Genomic DNA, 21674 nt, shown 5'->3' with positions numbered 1-21674 from the left:
AAGTGTGATGGTTCACTTATAAATTTGTAAGTTCTGTGCAAAAATATTAAAGAGCTTGATTCCAGGATTGGAAAATGATGAAGTTATCTTACATATTTTTATTGAGCTTTTAAAAGATGACAGTGATTAGAAAAAGCTTTCCTAATTCCACTGTCATTAACTCAAAGGTGTTATATGTTATTTGCAATTACTGCAATGTGACATTTACTTAAATTATTCATCATAAGAAACAGTCATTTATTTTCTTATTTATAAAGTATTTGAGCCCTCCATTTTCCAGATTATTTCTGTTTTCTTCTGAATGTGATCAATCTTCTTGTTAAGGATTGAGACAACTGGATGTGTGAATAGCAATTCACCCTCACTCTCTGGGGATATAGGAAAAAGGAGCCTTTTGATTTTTTTAATTGGATGTTTCTGTAATATTTATAACTGCAGGTTATAACAAGTGGGCTTTTGGGGGCAATAAAATAACAAAGAATTAAATAGTTTTCCGATAAACAGGGGAATTAAAGATATTTTTCATGATTTCAGTCATTCCCATGACTGCATGCCATTTCACGTTTCATAGTGGTTATTATTATTTTTTTCATCTTACTTTATTGTTTCCTAACTTTATCTTACAGTCTGTGTGGACTACTCAAAGTTTGGTTTAAAATTACTATTTGATTTAAAGATGTATTTTGTGAGAAGGAAAATAGTGTATTGAGATGTCCCCAAAAGGCTAAGGAAACACAGAAGAGGACGTAACTAAATCTGAAGCAGGGCCGGGCGCAGTGGCTCATGCCTGTAATCCCAGCACTTTGGGAGGCTGAGGCAGGTAGATCACCTGAGGTCAGGAGCTCAAGACAAGCCTGGCCAACATGGTGAAACCCCATCTCTACTAAAAATACAAAAATTAGCTGGGCATGGTGCTGGGCACCTGTAATCCCAGCGACTCGGGAGGCTGAGGCAGGAGAATTGCTTGAACCCGAGAGGCAGAGGTTGCAGCAACCTGAGATTATGCCACTGCACTAGAGCCTGGGCAACACAGCAAGACTCCATCTCAAATAAATAAATAAATAAATAAATAAATAAATCGGAATCAGGTAAGGCTTCTGAGGGGAGGCAACATTTGAGTTGGGCTAGTAAGTGGCAGAGGGAGTTTAACCCCCTAGTTCTTCCCATCCCCCAACTCTAGGTCTCAGCTCTGGACTGCCCGGCCTTCCCAGTTTCCACTCCCAGGTCTACTGTCTGGGCCAATCTGCAGATTAGACCTCATTTCTTTCCTGGGCCTTTCTGACCATGGCAAATAGGATCATACTAATAGTCATATTTTAACACTGACACCAACACTAGTGCCCAACACTCACTGAGCCCTCACTAGGTGCCAGATCTTTTATTAACAGGGAGATCACAGAACTGGTTGTCGAAACAGGGATGCCTTTTTAAAAACAACTTGATGGGGTATATTGACATACAATAAACTATATATGTTTAGTATATGCAATTTGATACTTGTTAATGTATGTATTCACCAATGAAGCCATCACCACAATCAAGATAATGAACATCTCTATCACTCCTGAAAGTTTCTTCTTGCCTCTTCATAATCTGTCCCTACTACCCACCAGCAAGCACTGACCTGCCTTCTGTCACTATGGATTAGCTTGTGTTTTCTAGAATTTTATACAGATGGAATTGTGCAGTGTTTACTCTTTTTCATCAGGTTTTATTCACTCCATGTTCTTGCATGCACCAATAGTTCATTCCTTTTCATTGCTGGGTATTATTCCACTGTATGATGTACAACAGTTCATTCATTTGCCTGATGACAGGCACTTGAGTTGTTTTCAGTTTTTGAATATTACCCAATAAAGCTGCTATGAACATTCGTATCTAAAAATAATGATGGCTTGGATTTTGACAGGAAGAAAAGGCTGGATTCTTTTTAGCTCCATGAATCCATTTCCGTCTCACTCTGGATCTTAGCGGACGCCATTCTTTATGTTTGTAACCCTCTCCTTTGAACGCTTCATCTGTGCTCCCATTTTCACTGTCACCTGAAAATCTCCATCTCACTCTTCTGTCTCAGCATAGACCTCGCTTCCTTCCAGAATCACTTCTCTGACCATCAGTGGGTCAGGTACCCCCATGTATGTCCTAGCACAGCACCCTGCACTTTGCCCAGGACAGGATTTATCACCCTGTATTGTAATTGCTTCTTTAATGTGTGCCTCTCTCAGGATCTCATTGAGAGCAGGACCATCTTGTATTTATCATGGTATCCCCCGAATTTACATTGACTGGAGAAATATGTTCTAAGTGGTTGAATAAATGAGTGAATGAATGAAAGGTAAAGAGTAGGATAAGCACAAAAGGGAATTGAGAATATTCTGTAATTAAGTTGTGGGGATGGCTGCACAACTCTATGCATATATTGAAAACCAATGGATTGTACACACGAAATGAGTGAATTGTATGGTATGTGGACTATATCTAAGTAAAGCTGTTTATAAAAAGAAAATTGAGAAATAGTAAGTCATCCAGATGGAAGAACATATTACATAAGGCTAGAAAGAATCTTTAACATTTCAGCGTCAACTCGAAATGTGCTGAAAGATTGAATGATCAAAACTCAACTTACCATCCAAAGTCTTTATCCCAATATTGTCTTCTTACTGGATGCGTTTGCTTACTTTATTTATTCATTTTTTTTTACCAGTCTTCAAAGTATGTTAAGATTAGTTTTCTAAATGCTTTTGTTTTCACTTTCCTGCTGTGAGTAGCAATCTAATCTAGACTGGATAGCATAATAATTTAGGAGAAAAGGGGAGCTCATTCCATACTTGGAACCATCTCTCTACAGGAGACCTGATGCAAATCTGAACTTCTATTGCCTGCATCAATGAAGGATAAGTGAGGATTTGGATTTCTCAGGGTGTTAATATGGAGAGGAGCATTTTTGTGGACATATGGAAGGGCAGATTATAACTCAGTTATAAGAGTTATAGGCCGGGCGTGGTGGCTCATGCCTGTAATCCCAACACTTTGGGAGGCCCAGGCAGGCAGATCACCTGAGGTCAGGAATTTGAGACCAGCCTGGTCAACATGGTTAAACCCCATCTCTACTAAAGATACAAAATTTAGCTGGGTGTGGTTGTGCACATCTGAAACATCTGAAATCCCAGCCACTCGGGAGGCTGAGGCATGAGAATCACATGAACCAGGGAGGCGGAGGTTGCAGTGAATCGAGATTGCACCACTGCACTTTAGCCTGGATGACAGAGTGAGACTCCATCTCAAAAAAAAAAAAAAAAAAAAAAAAGGTGTAATCCACAAAAAAGGCAGAAAGGTATTAATCATCAAAATAATCATTGAAGAAGGCCGTGTCCTATGGTGTGAAACTACACAGTGAAGGTGGGTAGCAGCAGGAATATGAGACTAGAGAGGCAAGTTGGTGTAAAATTCTTTTGGTGTAAATTTCCTTGACCTGAAAGAGGTTTGGATTTTATCCTGTGATTAAGGGACAGCCAACATTGGTTTAAATTAGGTTTCTAAGAAGGAATGAATGACTGCAGGGTAATTGTGAGGATAAATGCAGTAACAGCTAGGATAGCATTTTGAACCCCTGGGAAGAGAATGCAGAATAAATCAAAATTTCTTTTACTTATCTAATTTGACCATAGCCTAAATTAGCCTCTCATTTGAATTCAAACTTCCTACACTCATCTCCTTTCTGTCTCTCGCCTTCTCTAAAAGTCTCTGGTTCCAAGCATAGCTTTGAATGTGTCATCGTAAGTGCTCTCAGGACATCTTATTTTGTGAGTTTAGGATCAAGAAGAGATGTGTGCTCTTGGCTCCTCTCCTTCTGGGAGCTATCTTCTATCACCACAGAAATTTCACCTCAAATTGAATGTTATTCGAAACAATCTGTCTTGAAGGGAGCCATGTTTTAACCACCGCGATTTTTATCTGTTGGCTTGATTTTCATCCATAACTACATCTTGATTTCAACACTTTATTAGATATATATTTCATCCCTATTGGTAGGTTTTTTTGTGTGACAATGCATATGTATGCATTTGTGTGTGTGTGTGTGTGTGTGTGTGTGTTTAGTGTGTATGGGTAGGTGAGGGATTGTATTCCTTTATTTTGCCACAGAACTAATTATAGCAACCTTAATGGCTTAAAGCAACACCCATTTATTAGCTGGGAGTTCTGTAGGTCAGAAATCTGAACAGGCTCAGCCAGGTTCTCTGCTTACAACAAACAGGACTGAAATCAAAGTGTCGAATGGGCCAGGTTCTTATTGGGAGGGTCTGGGGAAAAATTCACTTCCAAACTCACATTGTTGGCAGAATTCAGAAAAAAGGATATTCTTTTACATAACTGTAGTGCAATTATTAAAATATGAAAATTCAGAATTAATAAAACACCATTTACGTCATCCACTATAATATTCAAGTTTGATCATTTCTGCCAACAGACCTATTATAGCTATTTTCTTCCCCAGCCAAGGATCCTATCCAGAATCACATTGCCTTTATTTGTCATGCTCCTTTAGTCTTCTTTAGTCTGTAGTAGTTCTTTAGCTTTTCTTTATCTTTCTTGGCATTGACACATTGACACTTTTTTAAAGATCATAGACCAGTTATTTCCAGAACGTTCCTAAATTTTGATTTTTATTTCCTGATTAAATTTAAGTATTTTTCTCAGGAACGCTAGAGACACAGTGTTGTGTCCTCCTCCACAGTGCATCACATCAGGAGGCCTATGATGTTGATTTGTTCCAATATTGGTGATATTAGCTTTGATCATTTGGTTACTGTATTGTCTTCCAGTTTTCTCCACTGCAAAATGTCTATGTTCCCCTTTGTAAGTAATTTGTGGGGAATTACTTTTATACGTAAATACATGTTCCTCATGAAACTAATTTTAGCATCCAGTGTTGATATTTTAAACTCCATCATTTTCTCCACATTAAAGCATCTTATAGCATCCTACTGTAAGGAAGACCTGGTTTATATATTTATTTATGTCAATATGAACTCATAGATTCTTATTTTACTAAATGTAATCATTTATATATTTACTTATAGTGAAGTTTAATTTGACCCAGATGTGGCCACGGGGGACCTTTCAACTTGTTCTCCTGCCCTATTGATACATCCTCATCATCTCTGAGTACTTTCTAATTTTTTGGTGCAGGAAAATGTTGCAGACTTAGCTTGTATTTAAACCCTAAAAGCAACTTTTCCTCCAAAGAGGCCTATTGGGTTTTTAAAATGTTATTATTTTTTAAATTTTTTGTGGGTACATAGCAGGTATATATATTTATGGAGTACATGAGCTGTTTTGATACAGGCAAGCAATGTGAAATAAGTACATCATGGAGAATGGGGAGTATCCATCCCCTCAAGCATTTATCCTTTGTGTTACAAACAATCCAATTACATTCTTTAAGTTATTTTAAAATATACAACTAAGCTACTATTGACTATAGTCACCCTATTGGTTTTCAGAGGAGAATGTGATTTAGAAACTAGTCATAGGTGTGCTTATTGCTTCTGGTGTCACTTTTGTGGCCTTTGTGTTGAAGGAGCTTTATTCAATCAGTATTGAATCATATTTTTAAATAGACACCATTTTTTAGAACAACTTTAGATTACAAGATTACAGAAAAGTTGAGAAGATAGTTAATTAGGACTTCCTTAGCTTTACTTAATGTTCTTTTCCTGGGTTCCGTCTAGAATACCATGTTACATGTAGTTGTTACCTCTCTTTAGGCTCCTTTTCACTGCAATAGTTTCTCAGACTTTCCTTGTTTTTATGACCTTGACAGTTTTGAAGAGTATAGGATACTTCGCTATTGGCTTTTTTTTTTTTTTTTTTAAGAGAGGGAGTCTCGCTCTGTTGCCCAGACTGGAGTGCAGTGGCACTATCTCGGCTCACTGCAAACTCTGCCTCCTGGGTTCAAGCGATTCTCCTGCCTCGGCCTCCTGAGTAGCCGGGATTACAGGCGTGCGTGACCACACCCACCTAATTTTTGTTTTTTCAGTAGAGACGGGGTTTCTCCACATTGGTCAGGCCGGTCTCAAACTCCTGACCTTGTGATCCACCTGCCTCGGCCTCCCAAAATGCTGGGATTACAGGCGTGAGCCACTGCACCCAGCTGATGTTACTCTTATGGTTATACTGGGATTGTGTGGTTTTTGGAAGAAGACCACAAAAGTAAAGTGCCAACTTAAGCACATCATTATTAGGAATACATATTATCAACAGGATTTAGCACTCTTGAAGTTGATCTGGGTCACTTTGCCGGTGTGTCTGTCAGGTTTCTCCACTGTAAAGTTACTCTCTTCCATCCCCACCTTTTTATACTGTACTCTTTACAGGGAGATCACTACTGGAAGACCACACTGTGCTTCCCTCCTTAAGAGCAAAGTATTTCCATAAATTATTTGGAATTCTTCTGCCTGGAAGCTTTGTCTCTTCTCTCTCATTTACTTATTTATTTATTTATTCATATCAATAAGACCTCATGAATATGTATGTTATACTTTGAGTTATAATCCATTACTACTTAATTTATTTTGTTGCTAAAATTAAGGGTTTTCGCTTTGGCCATTGAGAGCTCTTTCAGTTGGCTCCTCTGTCCCTTTGACATTCCCCTATCAATTTGGTTTGGGTTGATTGGTTTTTGAGCACTTCCTTAGTTTCTGGCACTATAAGATGCTTCAGGCTTATGTTGTATATTTCCTGCCCCAGTAAGCTTGCTTTTCACAATAGTATTTGTTAGTAATTCTAAAACCATATTCTGTGTAGGTTTGAGAAAATGAGTGATGTATTGTGGAGAATGATAGCCAGGTCTCTCACTCTGAGAAAGAAGTTAGAAATATGGAAAGGAGAAAGAATAGAAGGTAACTTGTGGGTTTGTATTAAAATTTAATATTGCTATATAAAGTCTTATGGTTGCAAATTTAAGGATATCTCTGGTGATACTCCTTGTCTCAAAGTCTGTTTTGCCTAATATTAAAAATGGTTTCTCCAACTTTCTAATACTTACTGTTTTCTTGGTATATTTTTTCCTATCCTTTTATTTTCAGACTCTTTTCATATTAAAAGCAAATTTCTTATAGATGATAATACTTGGATTTTGTGTTTTTACTGGAAAATCTCTGCCTTTTAATGGAAGTAATTAGTCCATTTACATTTTATACAGTTATTGAATCTCAATGCAGTTTTTATCTACCCTACTCCCACCATTCCTTTGCAGTGCTTGCTTCTCGGATATACTGCCTTACAAATTCCAGTCACATCAGAAATCTGTAATTACAACTTCTGCCTTCTTATCTTAGTGAGACCCCAATTCTTCTTGAGCTTCTTCTTCCTGGTCTGAAGCAGAGAAGTCTGAGTGATCATGATATTATTATGGCCCCTATGTTCTGTGTTTTTCTTCTTTCAAAGATTGCAGTACTGTGCTGTCTGTTGTTCAATGCTTTAAAAAGTTGTCTCACATATTTTATCTATTTTTATTGAGTATTTATTTTATTTTTTTAATTTATAATTATTTTTAGTAGGAGATCAAGTCTAGTAAAGTTATTCTACCATGCTTAGATACACAGATAACTAAACAATTCACCTTTTCAACTAAATACAACAATAAAAATACCATTGCCATACTATAAAGTCAAATATTCTGGTTACCTTAATACATGGGTTGTCTTTGCAGATAAATCTCAAATAACTTTTCACTGATAAATTACCTGAATATCTTTAAATAAGACATTTAACCCTTTTAGCTAACTATAATTTTGGCCAAAAACAGGAAAAAAAAGGAAAGATACGTGGTGTAAGTGACAGAATATGGATATTGTCCAAGAACACAGCACTTATATAAGTATGGTGCTTGGCTCTCCACAAGTTCTTTTACATACTTTTCCATCAGGACTCCTGTTGGTTACAAAAGACAGAAATCTAGCTCAAAGTGAATTAAGCATGACTGGCTTATATAAACAACATCTCTGGATATCTGGCTTCAGTTGTGTGGTGGGGAATCTGTTTCTCTTCATTTCTCAGCTCTCCTTACCCCTGCATTGGCCTTGTTGGCTGACAATTTGACATTAGCAGCTCTTGGCTTATATTCTGCTAGGTTAGCAAGCACAGCAAAAAGGTAGCTCCTCCATCAGTCAGCAAATAATTATTGAAAGCCTGATACTTAGGGAATACAGGATATATACAATGATGAACTAGATAATTAATGTGCTTGCCCCCAGAGAGCTTACACTCTGGTGAAATGAGAGACACAATAAAGGTGTGAACAAGTAAAATAATTTGGGACCCTGAAATTAATATGAAAAAGATAATACAGGATAATGCAGTAAAGACTATGTGATGGATGCTTTTTTTGGTCATCCAGGAAGGCCTATTTGTGTAGGAGACATTTAGCTTAAAACATAAATGATCATGGGGAAAATACAGCAAGAGAATGATCCAAGAAAAAATATTGCAAATAGAAAGAATGACAAGTGCATAGCTCCTGAGATGGGAAGCAACATAGCCTATTTGAGGTATCGAGTGAAGTGAATATGAAGAAATAACAAATGATGAGATAAATGAGGTAGGTGGAAATTAGATTATAGTAGCTTTATGGACCATGGTAAGGAGTTTGGATTTAATCCTTGTTACAATGAAAGTTATTGGAAGTTAGCCAAGTGATATTATGTTACCCTCTTTTAAAATGATCATCCTGAAGACTAGTCAAGAGGAATTCCCAACAATAAACCAGGACTGAGAGTTATTAGTCTGGCTTGGGTGATGTGCCATTCTTAAATTAGTCACTATGGCCAGGCTAATGCAATGCTTTGATTGGCCCATCTTAGGTTATCCTATTTCTGAGGCCAAATGGTGAATTCGACTCCATCTGAACTACATGGACTGAAACTAGGAATGAGGGTAATGTTCTCACATTGAGGTGGTATTTCCAGAAGAAGAGTAAATGGATGCTGGGAAGATACAAACAACAAAACCACATCTGCTCATTATTCAGGTTGAGCAAAGAGTGGTTACTATTGTTGTAAAAGTGTTGGAGCCCTGTTGTATTCTGGAAGCTATTGTTCTTACAGTCAAGAGAATTTATCTTGCCAACTTGAGAATAGCATCTAAACACTAAATACAAGTCTGAACTCTGAACAAGATTCAGAGTTTCTTATCCACACACATTTACTGAGTACTGATCTGCACATTTGGGTTCTAAAATGATTTTCAAATACAGAATATCTCATTAAATAAGATGAAGATATGTTTTCTATTATTTTAATTTTGTAAATTATGGCCAAAGAGACCACATTTGAAAAGAGAAAATCTTGTTTGTTATTATGTTGTAACTGGGTGAGTAGAGGCTAAAATACTTGCATTTCTATAGCACAAATATTCCTTATGGGAAATTCAAATGTGTCTCAGTCTTTAAGGATGTACTTCTTGAGCAACTTTGAGGAACCCAAATATAGTAAATCACTAGTATTCCTTGATATTCATCTGAGAATTCTGAGGGAAATAAACTGTGAAATAGTTGCACTGCCAGTAAGGATGTAATATATTCTCTCTATAAATAGCAACTCTCCTGAAGGTTGGAGGAAAAATTGCTAATGCCACACTGAGGGAAAAAAACAGAGGAAATGAAAGGAGATTCCAAAAATTACAGATCACCAAATCTCATCTCATCATCTCAATTCCAGGAAAAGTGATTGAGGGTTTAATTAAGTTTGGATTTTTGAATAAGTTAACAAGAAAGAGTTTTACTCACAGAATTTCCATATAGCATTTGAAGTTGTATAATAAAACCTATCTTAAGGAAAAACTGGCCTACCTAGATGGGAACTTTTATAAAATTCATAAAAAATGTCTGGTTTGTTTTATGGCATCTCTGCTGCTGTGGCTAAGGTCAGAGTATGAATAATTCAAAACACTTCTTTTTTCTTAGTAAACAAAGTGTTCGATGTTTGAGAGGACAGTGATTTTGGCATCCCACCTGATAAAGTCTCTTGTCTATTATTAGATTGCATCATCTGCTGGTCAAAACAGGTAGTCATCATTCTTATCCACAAGCATTTATTGAGTACTTATCTGCACAAAGGGCTGTGTTAGATGTGGAGGCATGAAGAAGCGTGCACCCTATCTGTAAGAAACCTGGTTAGAACATCATGGCATTCACAATTCAGAGAGGAGAGAGCAGTGTGGGTTTGGTGGCCATGCTTGTATCATTAAGGATGGTACATTATTTGAAGAAATAAGTAGCTGTCTAATCCATGTACAGAAGAGGAGTGTGTGACTGGGGCCATGCCATTTTTGCTTTCTCCTCAGTTTCTACATGTTCCTCCTGGGTTAGCTCTTTTATTGCTACAATTTCAAATCCTCTTTCTATATGTTAATGATGGCGTGCTTTGTATTTCTAGTCCAGCCTCTCTCTAGAGAAGATTCACATTCTGTTTCCTACTGCGCATCTCTAACATGGGAACTTTAACTTCAATGTGTCCAAAACTCAATGCATTTTCTCCCTATACTTGCTTTTCCTTTCATATTCCATGTGTTGGTTAAGGGCACCACCAGTCACTACCAGTTTAAGCCCAAATCTCAGAATCGTTATGGACTCTTTATTCTCCTTATACTTCCTTTACCCCATTGGCTTCCAAATTCTGACAATTTGACTTCCACGTGTTTCCTACTACATCCCCCTTTTCACCTGGTAATTACTTGTATTGAAGTACTATCATATGGTGTTATATGTATGTATTTGCACATGTGTATGTGAACTCTGGGTAGAGCCTATGGTTTCTTAGTCTTTGATCCATTCCCAGTGCCTAATGCCACACTTAGACCATGGAAGGTGCACATGAAATGCTTGTTGAAGGAATTGTGTGTTAGACATCTTTTATGTATTCAATCAGTTATTTAATAATTCACCCAACTTACATTTCTGGAGGACTTGCTATGTGATGAGAATTGTGCTTTCTTGACATTGCGGACACAATGATGATTGAGACATCATCTGTGCTCTCTGGTAGCTCATAGAGGACAAGAAAGAACAGACACACAAACAAGTAAGATTGAAAAATTAAAGTCAGATGAACCCAGTAATCCTAACATTTATCTTTTTCAGTCTCAGCATGTGCATATATGTGTGTGTCATCACTATCATTATTTGATAGTGATGTTGCATATTTTGCAATGATTCTCTCTCTCTCTCTCTCTAATGTTATTTCAATGTGGCATCAGTTAAAATGTGTTAAAATTTCAGGTTGAATTGTCACTAACAAAGGACTTTGAAGAATAAAATCATTTTCTCTTAAAAGGGCATGTTCCTGTGAATATGAGTCCTGGCTATGAAAATGAAAACACCATGGGATCTTATAATTAAAGCAAATCTTGATAAAAATAAAAATTCATCTCACAACTACCCACACTTGAGCATAAATCAAGATGCAGTGAATTTAGGGACTGTAGCCAAGAAGTTAGCGATAAAAATATGAGAATATTGATTATTCTAGGTACACTGAAAATTGACTTAAGAAATTAATTAAACATCCTAGAAAGGGGAAAAAAATTAGCAAACCTTAGTCTTTCCCAGAAATCATCTTATCTCAATCACTGTCTTTCAAGAAGAGGCTCTTTCAGGTAAGTGCTAAGATTTACCCTGTGTTTCCCTTGTTGTCTGACCACCTCCAGATCCACTTTGAAGACTTTTTTTTTTTAAGGTCAAGTAAGTTCTAGTAGCTCTTTTGAAGTATAAAAACAGAAGAGTATTCTTCAGGTTGAACCAGCTTGCAGGTTATTATACTGCCACTAAAAAATTGCAAAGGTTCATGATGAGTTACCAAAATGGAATTAGTCTGCACAATGACAAAACTCAAATGTTCTCTGTGTTCAGAATGGGAGAAATGCTATTCCATTTTTTTTTTTTTTCAGAGACAGGTTACAGCACAAAGTAGGCAAGGTACATTGGATCAGCAGTTAGTACAGTATCTCATTTTAGCACACCATTAAAGTGCTTAAAACCTCCCTACTCCAAATCCAGCCACACCCAGTCTTAGTAAACGCTGCCTTTTACTTCATCCTAAAGTTGCAACCATTGAATTTGATGTCCCTTAACTGTCCTGCCAAAATTCATCTATATCCACTTCTGCCCTCTAATCCATTTCTTTCATTTCAGAGGCTATGGGAAGGGGCCACCACATTGGGACTTTTTTTGCTGCTTATAAGAGAGTCTAGGAAAAAAAATGGCTTAAACAAATAGAGAGTTCTTTTCCTACATATCACTAAGATTAGGAAGAGATATTCTTCTTAGGTAGAGCTGGTGCAGAAGCTCTGTAGTAACAACAGTGGCCCAGGTGCCTATGATTCTTCTGTTTCTCCTTACTTAACCCTTAACTTTCATCCAAAGACTTGCCTCATGGTATTAAAAAAAAAAATGTGACTGTAGCTCTAGCCATCATGTCCACATGCCTGGAGGTAAGGAGGAGGAAAGGAGAAAAAAAGTCCAAAAGATATCTTCCCACTTAGTCATCTTTTAAAGGAGATTTCCTGGACCCAACAATTTCTGCTTATATCTCACTGGTCAGCATTCTGTTGCATGGCCAGACCTATCTGCAAGGAAAGACAAGACAAAAATCCTTTAAAACTTGGCATATCACCACCTTAAGAAAAAAAGGATTCTGTTAAAAATATAAAAGGTAACAATGAATTTGAGTAGGCAACTCATAGTCCCTGCCATAATATCTTAAACCATTTCTTCTATCCTCAAACGCTCCCTTTGTTGAAATGCTAAAAAGACAGCAACGAGGAAAAGGACCTGAAGCTTTGGAATGAGACAAAGGTGGACTCAGACAAATTCTGAGTTCATGACTAATCAGCTCTTGGATCCTGCTCAGGTTATTTAAAATGCCCAAGCCTTATTCTCTTCATGTATAAAGCAGATGAAAACACCTATTGTGAACAACCTGTTTGGGAACATTGATGTAAAGAACTGGAACAGAGTAAGTGCTCAATCATTTGTAGATATATAAAAACCATAAAATGCTTTGATTCTTATTGAAACAACATGTCCGTGCCTTCTTTTTGCCCCTGCAGATACCTTTGTTTCCTACCTGTCAAGTAAATATGAATGTGTCCAGGTTTCATTATTGGCTCACTGATCTCTTTATTCTGTGTTTCTCATCCATTATCTTGGTTTCAATTAGCACTCAAATGATGATGCCTCTCAGTTCATACTTCAGACTCAGATTTCAGACTCACTCTTCAGCTTCACACTCACCCCTGGGTATCTCCAAAGTGTCTGTAGTGACTTGAATAGTGAACCCCCAAAATGCTGCAGGACTTTTCCTGGTCACTTTTCCAGCTGGGGACCTCCGTGGCTGGCGACATCTCCACCCAGGCCTTGCTTGGCCCCAGGCCTGCCACAGGAGGCACCCTGTCAACTAGGCCCACTGGGCTGTGCTTGGCTTGCACACCAGACTGGATCTTGCACGCACTCATCACAGGATCCTCGCTCAGCCCATGGCTGGGCCGGGTATGCCCCAGCCCACCTGTGTTACAGCTCATACCCACATTCAGTGGTTCCCAAGACCTTGTCTCATGTTCAAGAATAATGGGATTATGCTCACAATTGAAGGGTAAGGAGGGCGGAGAAGAACTTTATTGAGCGACAGAACAGCTGTCAGTGTAGAGGGGATGCAAGGGTGATTCCTGCATCCAAAGTCAGGTGGTCTCTTCCTCCAGTGTAGCTGGGTCCAGGACTTTTGTGGGCTCAGAATGGGGGAGTGCATGCTGATTGGTTTGTGAGTATGCAAAAAAGCTAAAACGAAGACACCACTCAAAGGTGAGCACAACAATGTGAAAAAACCAATTAGGGAAGTGTAGATATGTGTAAAATAGGTGAAGGCTGAGGATCAATCAGAAGAAAGCACGACAAACAGGAAGAGATATTCTAAATCTGGTCTGTGGATTTGACTTGTAGCTTGGCTTTCAGGCTTTGAACTGTCTTTTGCTTGAAGGTGGAGTTTCACCCGGGACCTGTCCCTACCTACCTGGACATTTGACTGCCTCTTGCTGCTATCAAAATGATATGCCCCCCAGAAACTCAGAATGTGACTTTATGTGGAATAAGGGTCCTTGTAGATGGAATTGAGGTAATGTTCTCGAGATGAGATCATCCTGGATTAGGGTGTGACCTAAATTCAATTACAGGTATCCTTATAGGAGAGAAAAGAAAAAAAAGAAGACACACAGACATAGGGGAGAAGACCATGTGAAGACAGAGGCACAGATGGGAAAGCTATGTCTCCAAGCCAAGGAACACTAAGAATTGCTGGCAGCCATCAAAATCTAGGAGAGAGATATGGAACGAAGTCTCCCTCTTGTCTTCAAGAAAAATACAACCCTGTTGACACCTTGACTTTGGACTTCTGGCCTCCAGAACTTTGAGGGAATAAAATTCTATTATTTTAAACCACCAAGTTTGTAGTAGTTTGTTATGGCAGCCCTAGATATTAACTAATCCAATATCCCAAACTGAACTCGTCATTTGATTCTATGAAAGCCTTTCTCTGCTCATACTTTCTAACTTGTTTTGTGACACCACTATCACATAGACAACACAGCTTGTTATCCTTGACTTCACCCCCACCATTTGCCCCCTCACCCAACCAATTGCCAAACTTTGTATCTGATTAATTCTCTCATCTAGCCTTTTTCTCCAAAGTCATTTGCTACTTTCTGGGTTCAAGCTATTGTCATCTTTTCTGGACTTGTAGAAGAACTTCTCAATATGCCTCCCTACTCCTAGTATTATCCCACTCAAATATAGCATCTGCACATTTGCCAGAGAGATCTAGCCAAAATGCAAAACGAACCATGAGCCTGACTTGCTTAAAACTCTGTGATGGGGCTTTGTTCTCTTCTGGATGAAGCCCAAGATTGTGCCATGGTCACCCTGCACAGTCCAACTTACCTATGTCCCTTTGTACATGCCATTCCTGCTCCTGGCATATTCTCCTGTTCAGGAGAATGTACCAACCTTACCATTTAATGTCATTTACTGTACATTATGACTTACCTTGTGCATCACTTTGTCTAAGAAGTCTAACTGATCCCTTTCTCAGGTAGGCACATTCCTCTGAGCACTGATAGTACCCTAGATGTTTACCTTGATCTGCATGCTTTGCATGAGGTATTAAATTTAAACAGATTAATTATGGTGATAAATAAAATAAAGAGTTGAACCACCCTGCTAGTTTGAACTCCTTGAAGACAGGAAACCTCCTTTACCTTCTTATCTCCATAAACCTGCACAATGCTTGGTGGATGCTGGTGCCTGGTAGGCCCTCAAGAAATGACTGTTGAAGGACTGAAGAGCTTAAATATCTCCCCTATTAAACTATCAATTCTCTATCTCCATCCTTGGCACTCCCACTCAATTAGCAACATTGATGTCATCTCAAATCTTTTTCCTTACTGTCCATTGCAGCCAATTCATCCCAAGTCCCTAATTTCTTCTTTAATCAGAGAAGGTCTCTACAGAGACCTGAAAGACTAGTAGTTTAATGTACAGGCTCCAGAGTCACAGAGTCTTGATCAAATTCTGGCTTTGCCACTTCCTAAGTCTATGATCCTGAACAAATTATTTAAACTCCCCAGGATTCCTCCATGCATCTGTAAAATGGGGATGATCATAGTACCTACCTCACACGATCACTACCATTTACTGGTCACTAAGAAAAAGGAATGAGATAAAGGTAGGGGAGTATATCAGATGAATTGAGAATTATACTGCTCTTTTCCTGACTTCAGTTTTCTATATAACCTTAGTAACTCTGTGACATATAGTCTTTGAGGTATATGTTAGTTTATTAATTATTGTTTTCCAATGGAGCAATAATCTTGTGCCCATTCCTCCATGTGATCTGCAAGGCTTGTTCAGGCCAGAACCACTTATATTTTTCCAGAATGATTTTATGAGACTCTCAGTTATTCTACTACTTCTTACTATGTTTCATTCTTACCCTTAACATTACATGCCCTGTTTTTATATGAAGTATTAGATTCCTTTTCCAAAGTGTCATTTTGATCAGAATACCCCTTCTTTTAAAAAACTTTTAAAAAGCTTCTAGTTTTCCAACAAATTAAAGTAAAATGCTTCCTCCTAGGCCTCAAGGTTCTTATCAAATTGTTTTTCCCACAACACTGCTCTGACTTCCTGACCCTCTCAGTTATTGTGCACTTCATACGACATCCCTGATAGTTGCCTTAGAGCCACTATACATTTTTAGTCAGGATAACATTTTGGAAAAATATGAATGCCCTTATCTCCTTTGCATTTTTAGGTTCATGATCTTCTCTCTACCGAGGTTGAGGCATCCATCCAGCAAGAGAAAATAAAATTTTACCCTAAGAAATAATTGAGAAGGAACAAGGTAAAGTTGAACTTCTGACATCAAGATAGAAATTATTTTGCGGTCAAGGAAGGAAAATAGCTTGCGGTCAGGTTTTCGGAGCAGGAAAAAATTTTCAAACTTCTCCTAGTTTCTATCTATTTGTAGAAAGATCAAAACCCGGAAGACAACTGGAGTGGGTTCTATGACAGCTAGCCTGTGTGGTTTGTTGCCCTGGCTGGAAAGAATATACAACAGTGAAAGAGGGAAAAGCCTTTTTTTTTTTTTTTTTTTTTTGTAGCATTAGTGGCTCATGAAAAGTGAATGGCACATGGAGCTAAAGCAACCAGTTGAGTCTGTACAATTCTGACATGGGTTGGAAGAAAGATATCTGATAAATTGAGGGATACGCTGCCCTGGTTCCTGGCTTCTATTCTGTGAATAGCATCAACAACTCTGTCACACAGAGTTTTGAGGTTTTGTATTTTATGTCCTTTCAATTTCATTTTCTTCTTTCTTGTAAAGCTGTAAGATCCTCCAGGGCAAAATAAAAAACAAAAAACAAAAAAACAAACTTCCCCTACCCCATGGTTTGGCTTCTGAATTATCAGTACCAAAGAATGGGGAGTATATTTCCAATAACCATGGCAATCATCATTGAACTACTGGGTAGAGACTGCGAGATGAAAATACATCAATAAAACTTGAGAAAGAAAGATGTAAGATCCTTGTTTATGCCTTCAGGCTAACAAATGTTCATTGCCTTTCAAAGAATTGTGGCCATGATGGGTATGTGAGGAAAGTCCACATTTTAGTCACCCATAGGTTGGTTTAAATCTTTCTGCAAAGCAATTTCATAAGTTGCTTCTAAGAGCCCCAAGATCAACTGAGAATCAGACAGCTATTTATGCTAAGAAATGGTTATGTGGACTGTGGCCAGATAGACTTAGTAATAAATAACTGATGAAAAGGCAGAAGGGGTAAACATAATTTGAATAAATTGATTAATCTTTTATTATCAGAGTTTTGAACTATATGCCAGAAAGCATGCTTGTGCTAGGCTCCCAGAGATAAATGATGTTCTGTACCTTTACATAGTTAATATTTGTGGAACATCATTCTAAATATATAAATGAAAATTTATTAATTCCCACCACAACTTCAGGATATATGAACTATTATTGGTCCTTTCCAGATGTTCAAGGTTACACAGTTAGTAATCACTGCAGCTGGCATGTGAATCAAAGCAACCTGGCTCTGGAGTTTGTACTCTTTACTAAGTCTGTACTGTGGTCATTTGGATATGCACAGGGCTGGCACCAGAGACATCTGGGAAAATACCGGAAGAAAATTTAAAAGAATATTTGTCTATCTTGAGATGGGGAAGGTCTTTCTAAGCATGAACCAAACCCAGAAGCCATAAAATAAAAGACTGACATATTTGGCTATATGACAAACAAGAACCTTGATGTAGTCAAAGAAGCCACACGTGAAGTTAAAATGTAAATGACTACTTGGGGAAAAAGATTTGCCACCTACCCATAAAGAAGGTAATGATGCTTAAAGAAATCCTGTAAACCAATGGGGAAAAAAAAAACAAGCCAAAGAGGTAAGAAATAAATCAGGAGAAGGCAAATCACAGAAGACAAAACACAATGGCCACACACCCATACAAAAAGATGCTTAATAGCGCTAACAATATCACTAATAATCAGAGCAAATGAAAGCTTTGAAATACTTTCATCTTTTTAATTTGCAAACATTCAGAAGTTTGATAGCAGAATTACATTAGGATGTGAATACACGTTCTTGTTTGACTCGAGATAGGAAAGCCTCAATCGGATTCTCAGGAATTAAACAGTATGCAATGATTTGGAAATGCCAGTAATAATTATTGAAAGAGCCATATTAATTTTTCTCTATCTGTTGAAATTAATTGATTTTTTTCATTGATAAAACTCATAACAAACTAAATAAGAAAACTAAATCAAAACACAAAAATCTAACATACTTATAATGGTTATTCCATACTCTCCTGGGAAACTACAGCTTTTTACTAATCATGAGATACTTCCTCTCATGATTATGGATGCCTTCATGGAGACAACATTTGTAACCACAGGCTATTTTTTTTGCTTTATTTTTACACGTAAGACATTTGCTATTCCAAAGACCAAAATTAATCAGGAGTTTCTGAAAATCTGAAGTGTGACAAATATGTAGAATTAACACCTGTTCCTATTATTGTACATAACCAAATCTCTGGAGTTTTTTGAAGGCATATGCTAGGTACTTTAGATAGGGGCCTTAGAACAATTTTCTTAAGGAAGCAGAAAGAATCAGGGAAGAGAAAGTTAGGCACTTCAGAAAACTTTGAAAAGTGCTCCAAACAGATAAGTAATCACCATGTGATAAACACTGCATTTCACAGACCATCTCCTTAACAAGATTCACTTTCTGCTGACTCACTCAGATATATCAAGTGGTAGAACTTCAAAAATAAAAAATGAAGAGAATTAAGGCATGATCCCATTACCCTCCTGAGAGAACTGCTGACCTCACTGACATCAATATTCGAAAGACTTATGTAAATTTCTAAATTGAGTAGCTAGAATTCTTTTTTATTTTTCTCCTACAAGTATTTCACTGAGACCCTCTCTGGATAACTTCCATCTTCTATCATTTTCTGGATAAGAACCCTCAAGAAGGATGGAACAGAATACTCTGCTGGCTTTTATCCAGTTTGGCTCTCTGCAGAGCTTAAAAAAAGCCCTTTGGAAGGCACATTAACTCTTTCAGAGCACACAGATATCATGAGGCAATCAAAACAATGGAAAAAGTCTCCAGTGTAGAGCTGAAATGATGGTGAGGGGCCACAGATGGGTATTTAGCTCAGCTCTGCCCCTGAGTTGCTGAGTCACCATGAGAACTTGATTAACCACTCTAAGCCTCAAGTTTTTTCATCAGTAAGATAGAGGTCATACTCTATGTCCTTTGAGATCTCTTTATACCTGATATTCTGAAGTATATAATAAGATGGGGTTCAACAAAATATTCTAATACCCCAAAATACAAATTTTACAGCTAATTAGATGACACCTTTTAAATTGTGTTTTTATACAGCATCAGTAACTTCTATTAAGCTATTGAAACCACCAAATTTTATCCAAAGCATTTTCTCTGTTGAAATTTTATTTATTTATTTTATCCTTGACATTTTTTCTAATGATTTTGAGTTCAGTTTGAAATTCAACAATTTGGTATGTCAGAAAGATGATTTTGTGCCCCGCCCCCCACAAAAAAAAACCTAGCTTTTTATATGGGGCAAGATAAGGTTGGTTATGCTGCAGAAACAAATTAGTTCAATAAAGTCATAGCTTATTCAAAATCTGGGAATCCTTTAACTACAGGGCCAGTTTTTACCAATAGCGATTTAGTCATCCTGGCTGCTCCCATCCTGTGGCTGTTTGGTCTGAATTAGGTACTCCACAATTGCTGCAGCAAAGCAAGAGAAATCTACAATAATCATTCAATGGCTCCTAAATATCTGGGCCCGAAGTCACACACATCATTATGGTTACAGCTCATTGGCCAAAACTGGTCATACTGTGCTGCCCTACTGCAAAGGGCTAAGAAATGTGAGGCTAGGGCAGGCATAATAGATAGTCAGTGAGTCAATATACCTCTTCCCCACCTATACCTTTCTTTTATTTCTTTTTTTTAAAGCTACCATAACCTTAAGATGATGATCCATTAATCTATCCATTCATCCCTTGTCTCATATTTATTAAACACTATCTGCAAGGTGTTTAGTAGATTATTTAGGTAACATAAAGATGAATAGGACCCATTTTATTCACATTGACAAGAAAGGAAGAAATCTTCCATAAGCTGAACAAAGATTGTCTCATTTAATCTTTCCATTAATGCTAGTAAGGGCATTGATATTTTCTCCATCTTTATGGCTAAGAAAACTGAGACTCAAAAAAATTAAATGATTTTCTCAAGATGAGTGGTGAGTATGTGGCCAATCTGTAATTCCTACCCTAGTCTGCGTGAATCCTGCGGCTTTGTTTTTTTCCAACATAACCCTTGTCTGGTCAGTCTCCAGTTAGCTGACAAGAAAGACTGGCTTGACTTGCAGGTCAGATAAACAGACGGCTTTGTGTGTCTATGATACAGGCACACATGAAAATGGGAGCTAATAAATTGTAGTCATTAAGAGAGGGACCTCTGGAGTCAATGTCTAGAGTTTTAAGCTTACCAGCTTTATTTACTTGGATGAGTTACTTAACTTCTCTGTGTTTCAGTTTCTTTATCTATAAAATAGAGCATTGAGATAATTAAATGGAAAATTAATTCTATATGAAGTGCTTGGCACATAGTGGGTGCTCAAAAAAATGTCATCATCAGCGTCATTATCATCATCATTTTAATTATCATCATCTTTGGAATTCAAACTCTTGCCTAAGGGGCAAGGCAAAGGGTTTTCTGTTTATCCACAGGGCATTATTAATTTATTTCAGGTCTTTCAGTTTAAGTAAAAGGTCTCTATTGGTCTTTAAAACATTTTAAAAATAAATCAGAATCCATTTTCTATTGTCTTGTCTACTTTTCTTTATACTGGCTTTTATTCGTTTTTATATTACTTTCTAATGTACTCAAATCTTTATTCTTTTTAGTAGGTAAACAAGAAACAGCACAAAAAGACACATGGAAAGCTTGAATCGCAAGCAAGAACAGGGAGGGGTCTTTTTACTCCAGAAGCTTCACAAAGTCTCTGACTTCCTTAAAAGTTTCAGGGAAATACCCTCCTCCACCTCATCCTCACATACATCATGGAAATAAAATAGAACCTACCAGAAAGGAACACACTCCTCTGTCTACTCCATAACTTACAATGCCACCTGCATCTATTCCAGTATCCTCTGCCTACCCGTGTACCTCTAGATGAAATGTCTTCACTCCCATCAAAGGTCAGCACCTCCACTTGTACTCTAGGTCCCATCCCCTGTAGACTTTGCAGGGAATATACATCTGAAATTTTACACCTTTCTCTCTGCATTCTCAGTGTATTCCTATCTCCTGGATCATTTCTATCAGTATAGAAGCCTGTTGTAACATCACCTGTATTTGCTTTTAGGTGTCCACCCGAGAGTTACACATTTCGTTGGCAGTTTCCTTCGATTCCTCTAAGTGTTGGTTTTCCAAATGCTAGATGGTACAATCTCTAACTTCTGATCCCCCAGCCTTTTCAAAGGTTTTCAA

The 21674-nt window shown here is 37.6% G+C and overlaps 2 long non-coding RNA genes across 6 annotated transcripts in view; one reads left to right on the top strand and one right to left on the bottom strand.

Moving 5' to 3' along the window:
• The window catches only part of LOC105375716 (uncharacterized), a 436284-nt gene that overhangs the window by 224251 nt on the left and 190359 nt on the right, over positions 1 to 21674 (top strand). The window lies entirely within an intron of this gene.
• LOC105375717 (uncharacterized) overlaps positions 1 to 21674 on the bottom strand; it is a 37330-nt gene that overhangs the window by 14614 nt on the left and 1042 nt on the right. Inside the window, exons 3-4 of the long non-coding RNA XR_928573.3 lie at positions 11674 to 11823; positions 10954 to 11038 (exon numbers count right to left, since the gene is read on the bottom strand). This is a non-coding gene — a long non-coding RNA (uncharacterized LOC105375717). The remainder of the gene's footprint in view (positions 1 to 10953; positions 11039 to 11673; positions 11824 to 21674) is intronic.

The sequence above is a fragment of the Homo sapiens genome, chromosome 8 (genome assembly GCF_000001405.40).
Source record: "Homo sapiens chromosome 8, GRCh38.p14 Primary Assembly".
Lineage (NCBI taxonomy): Eukaryota > Metazoa > Chordata > Mammalia > Primates > Hominidae > Homo > Homo sapiens.
Note: the sequence above shows the minus strand (reverse complement) of the source record. Positions and strands in the feature narration are given on the sequence as shown.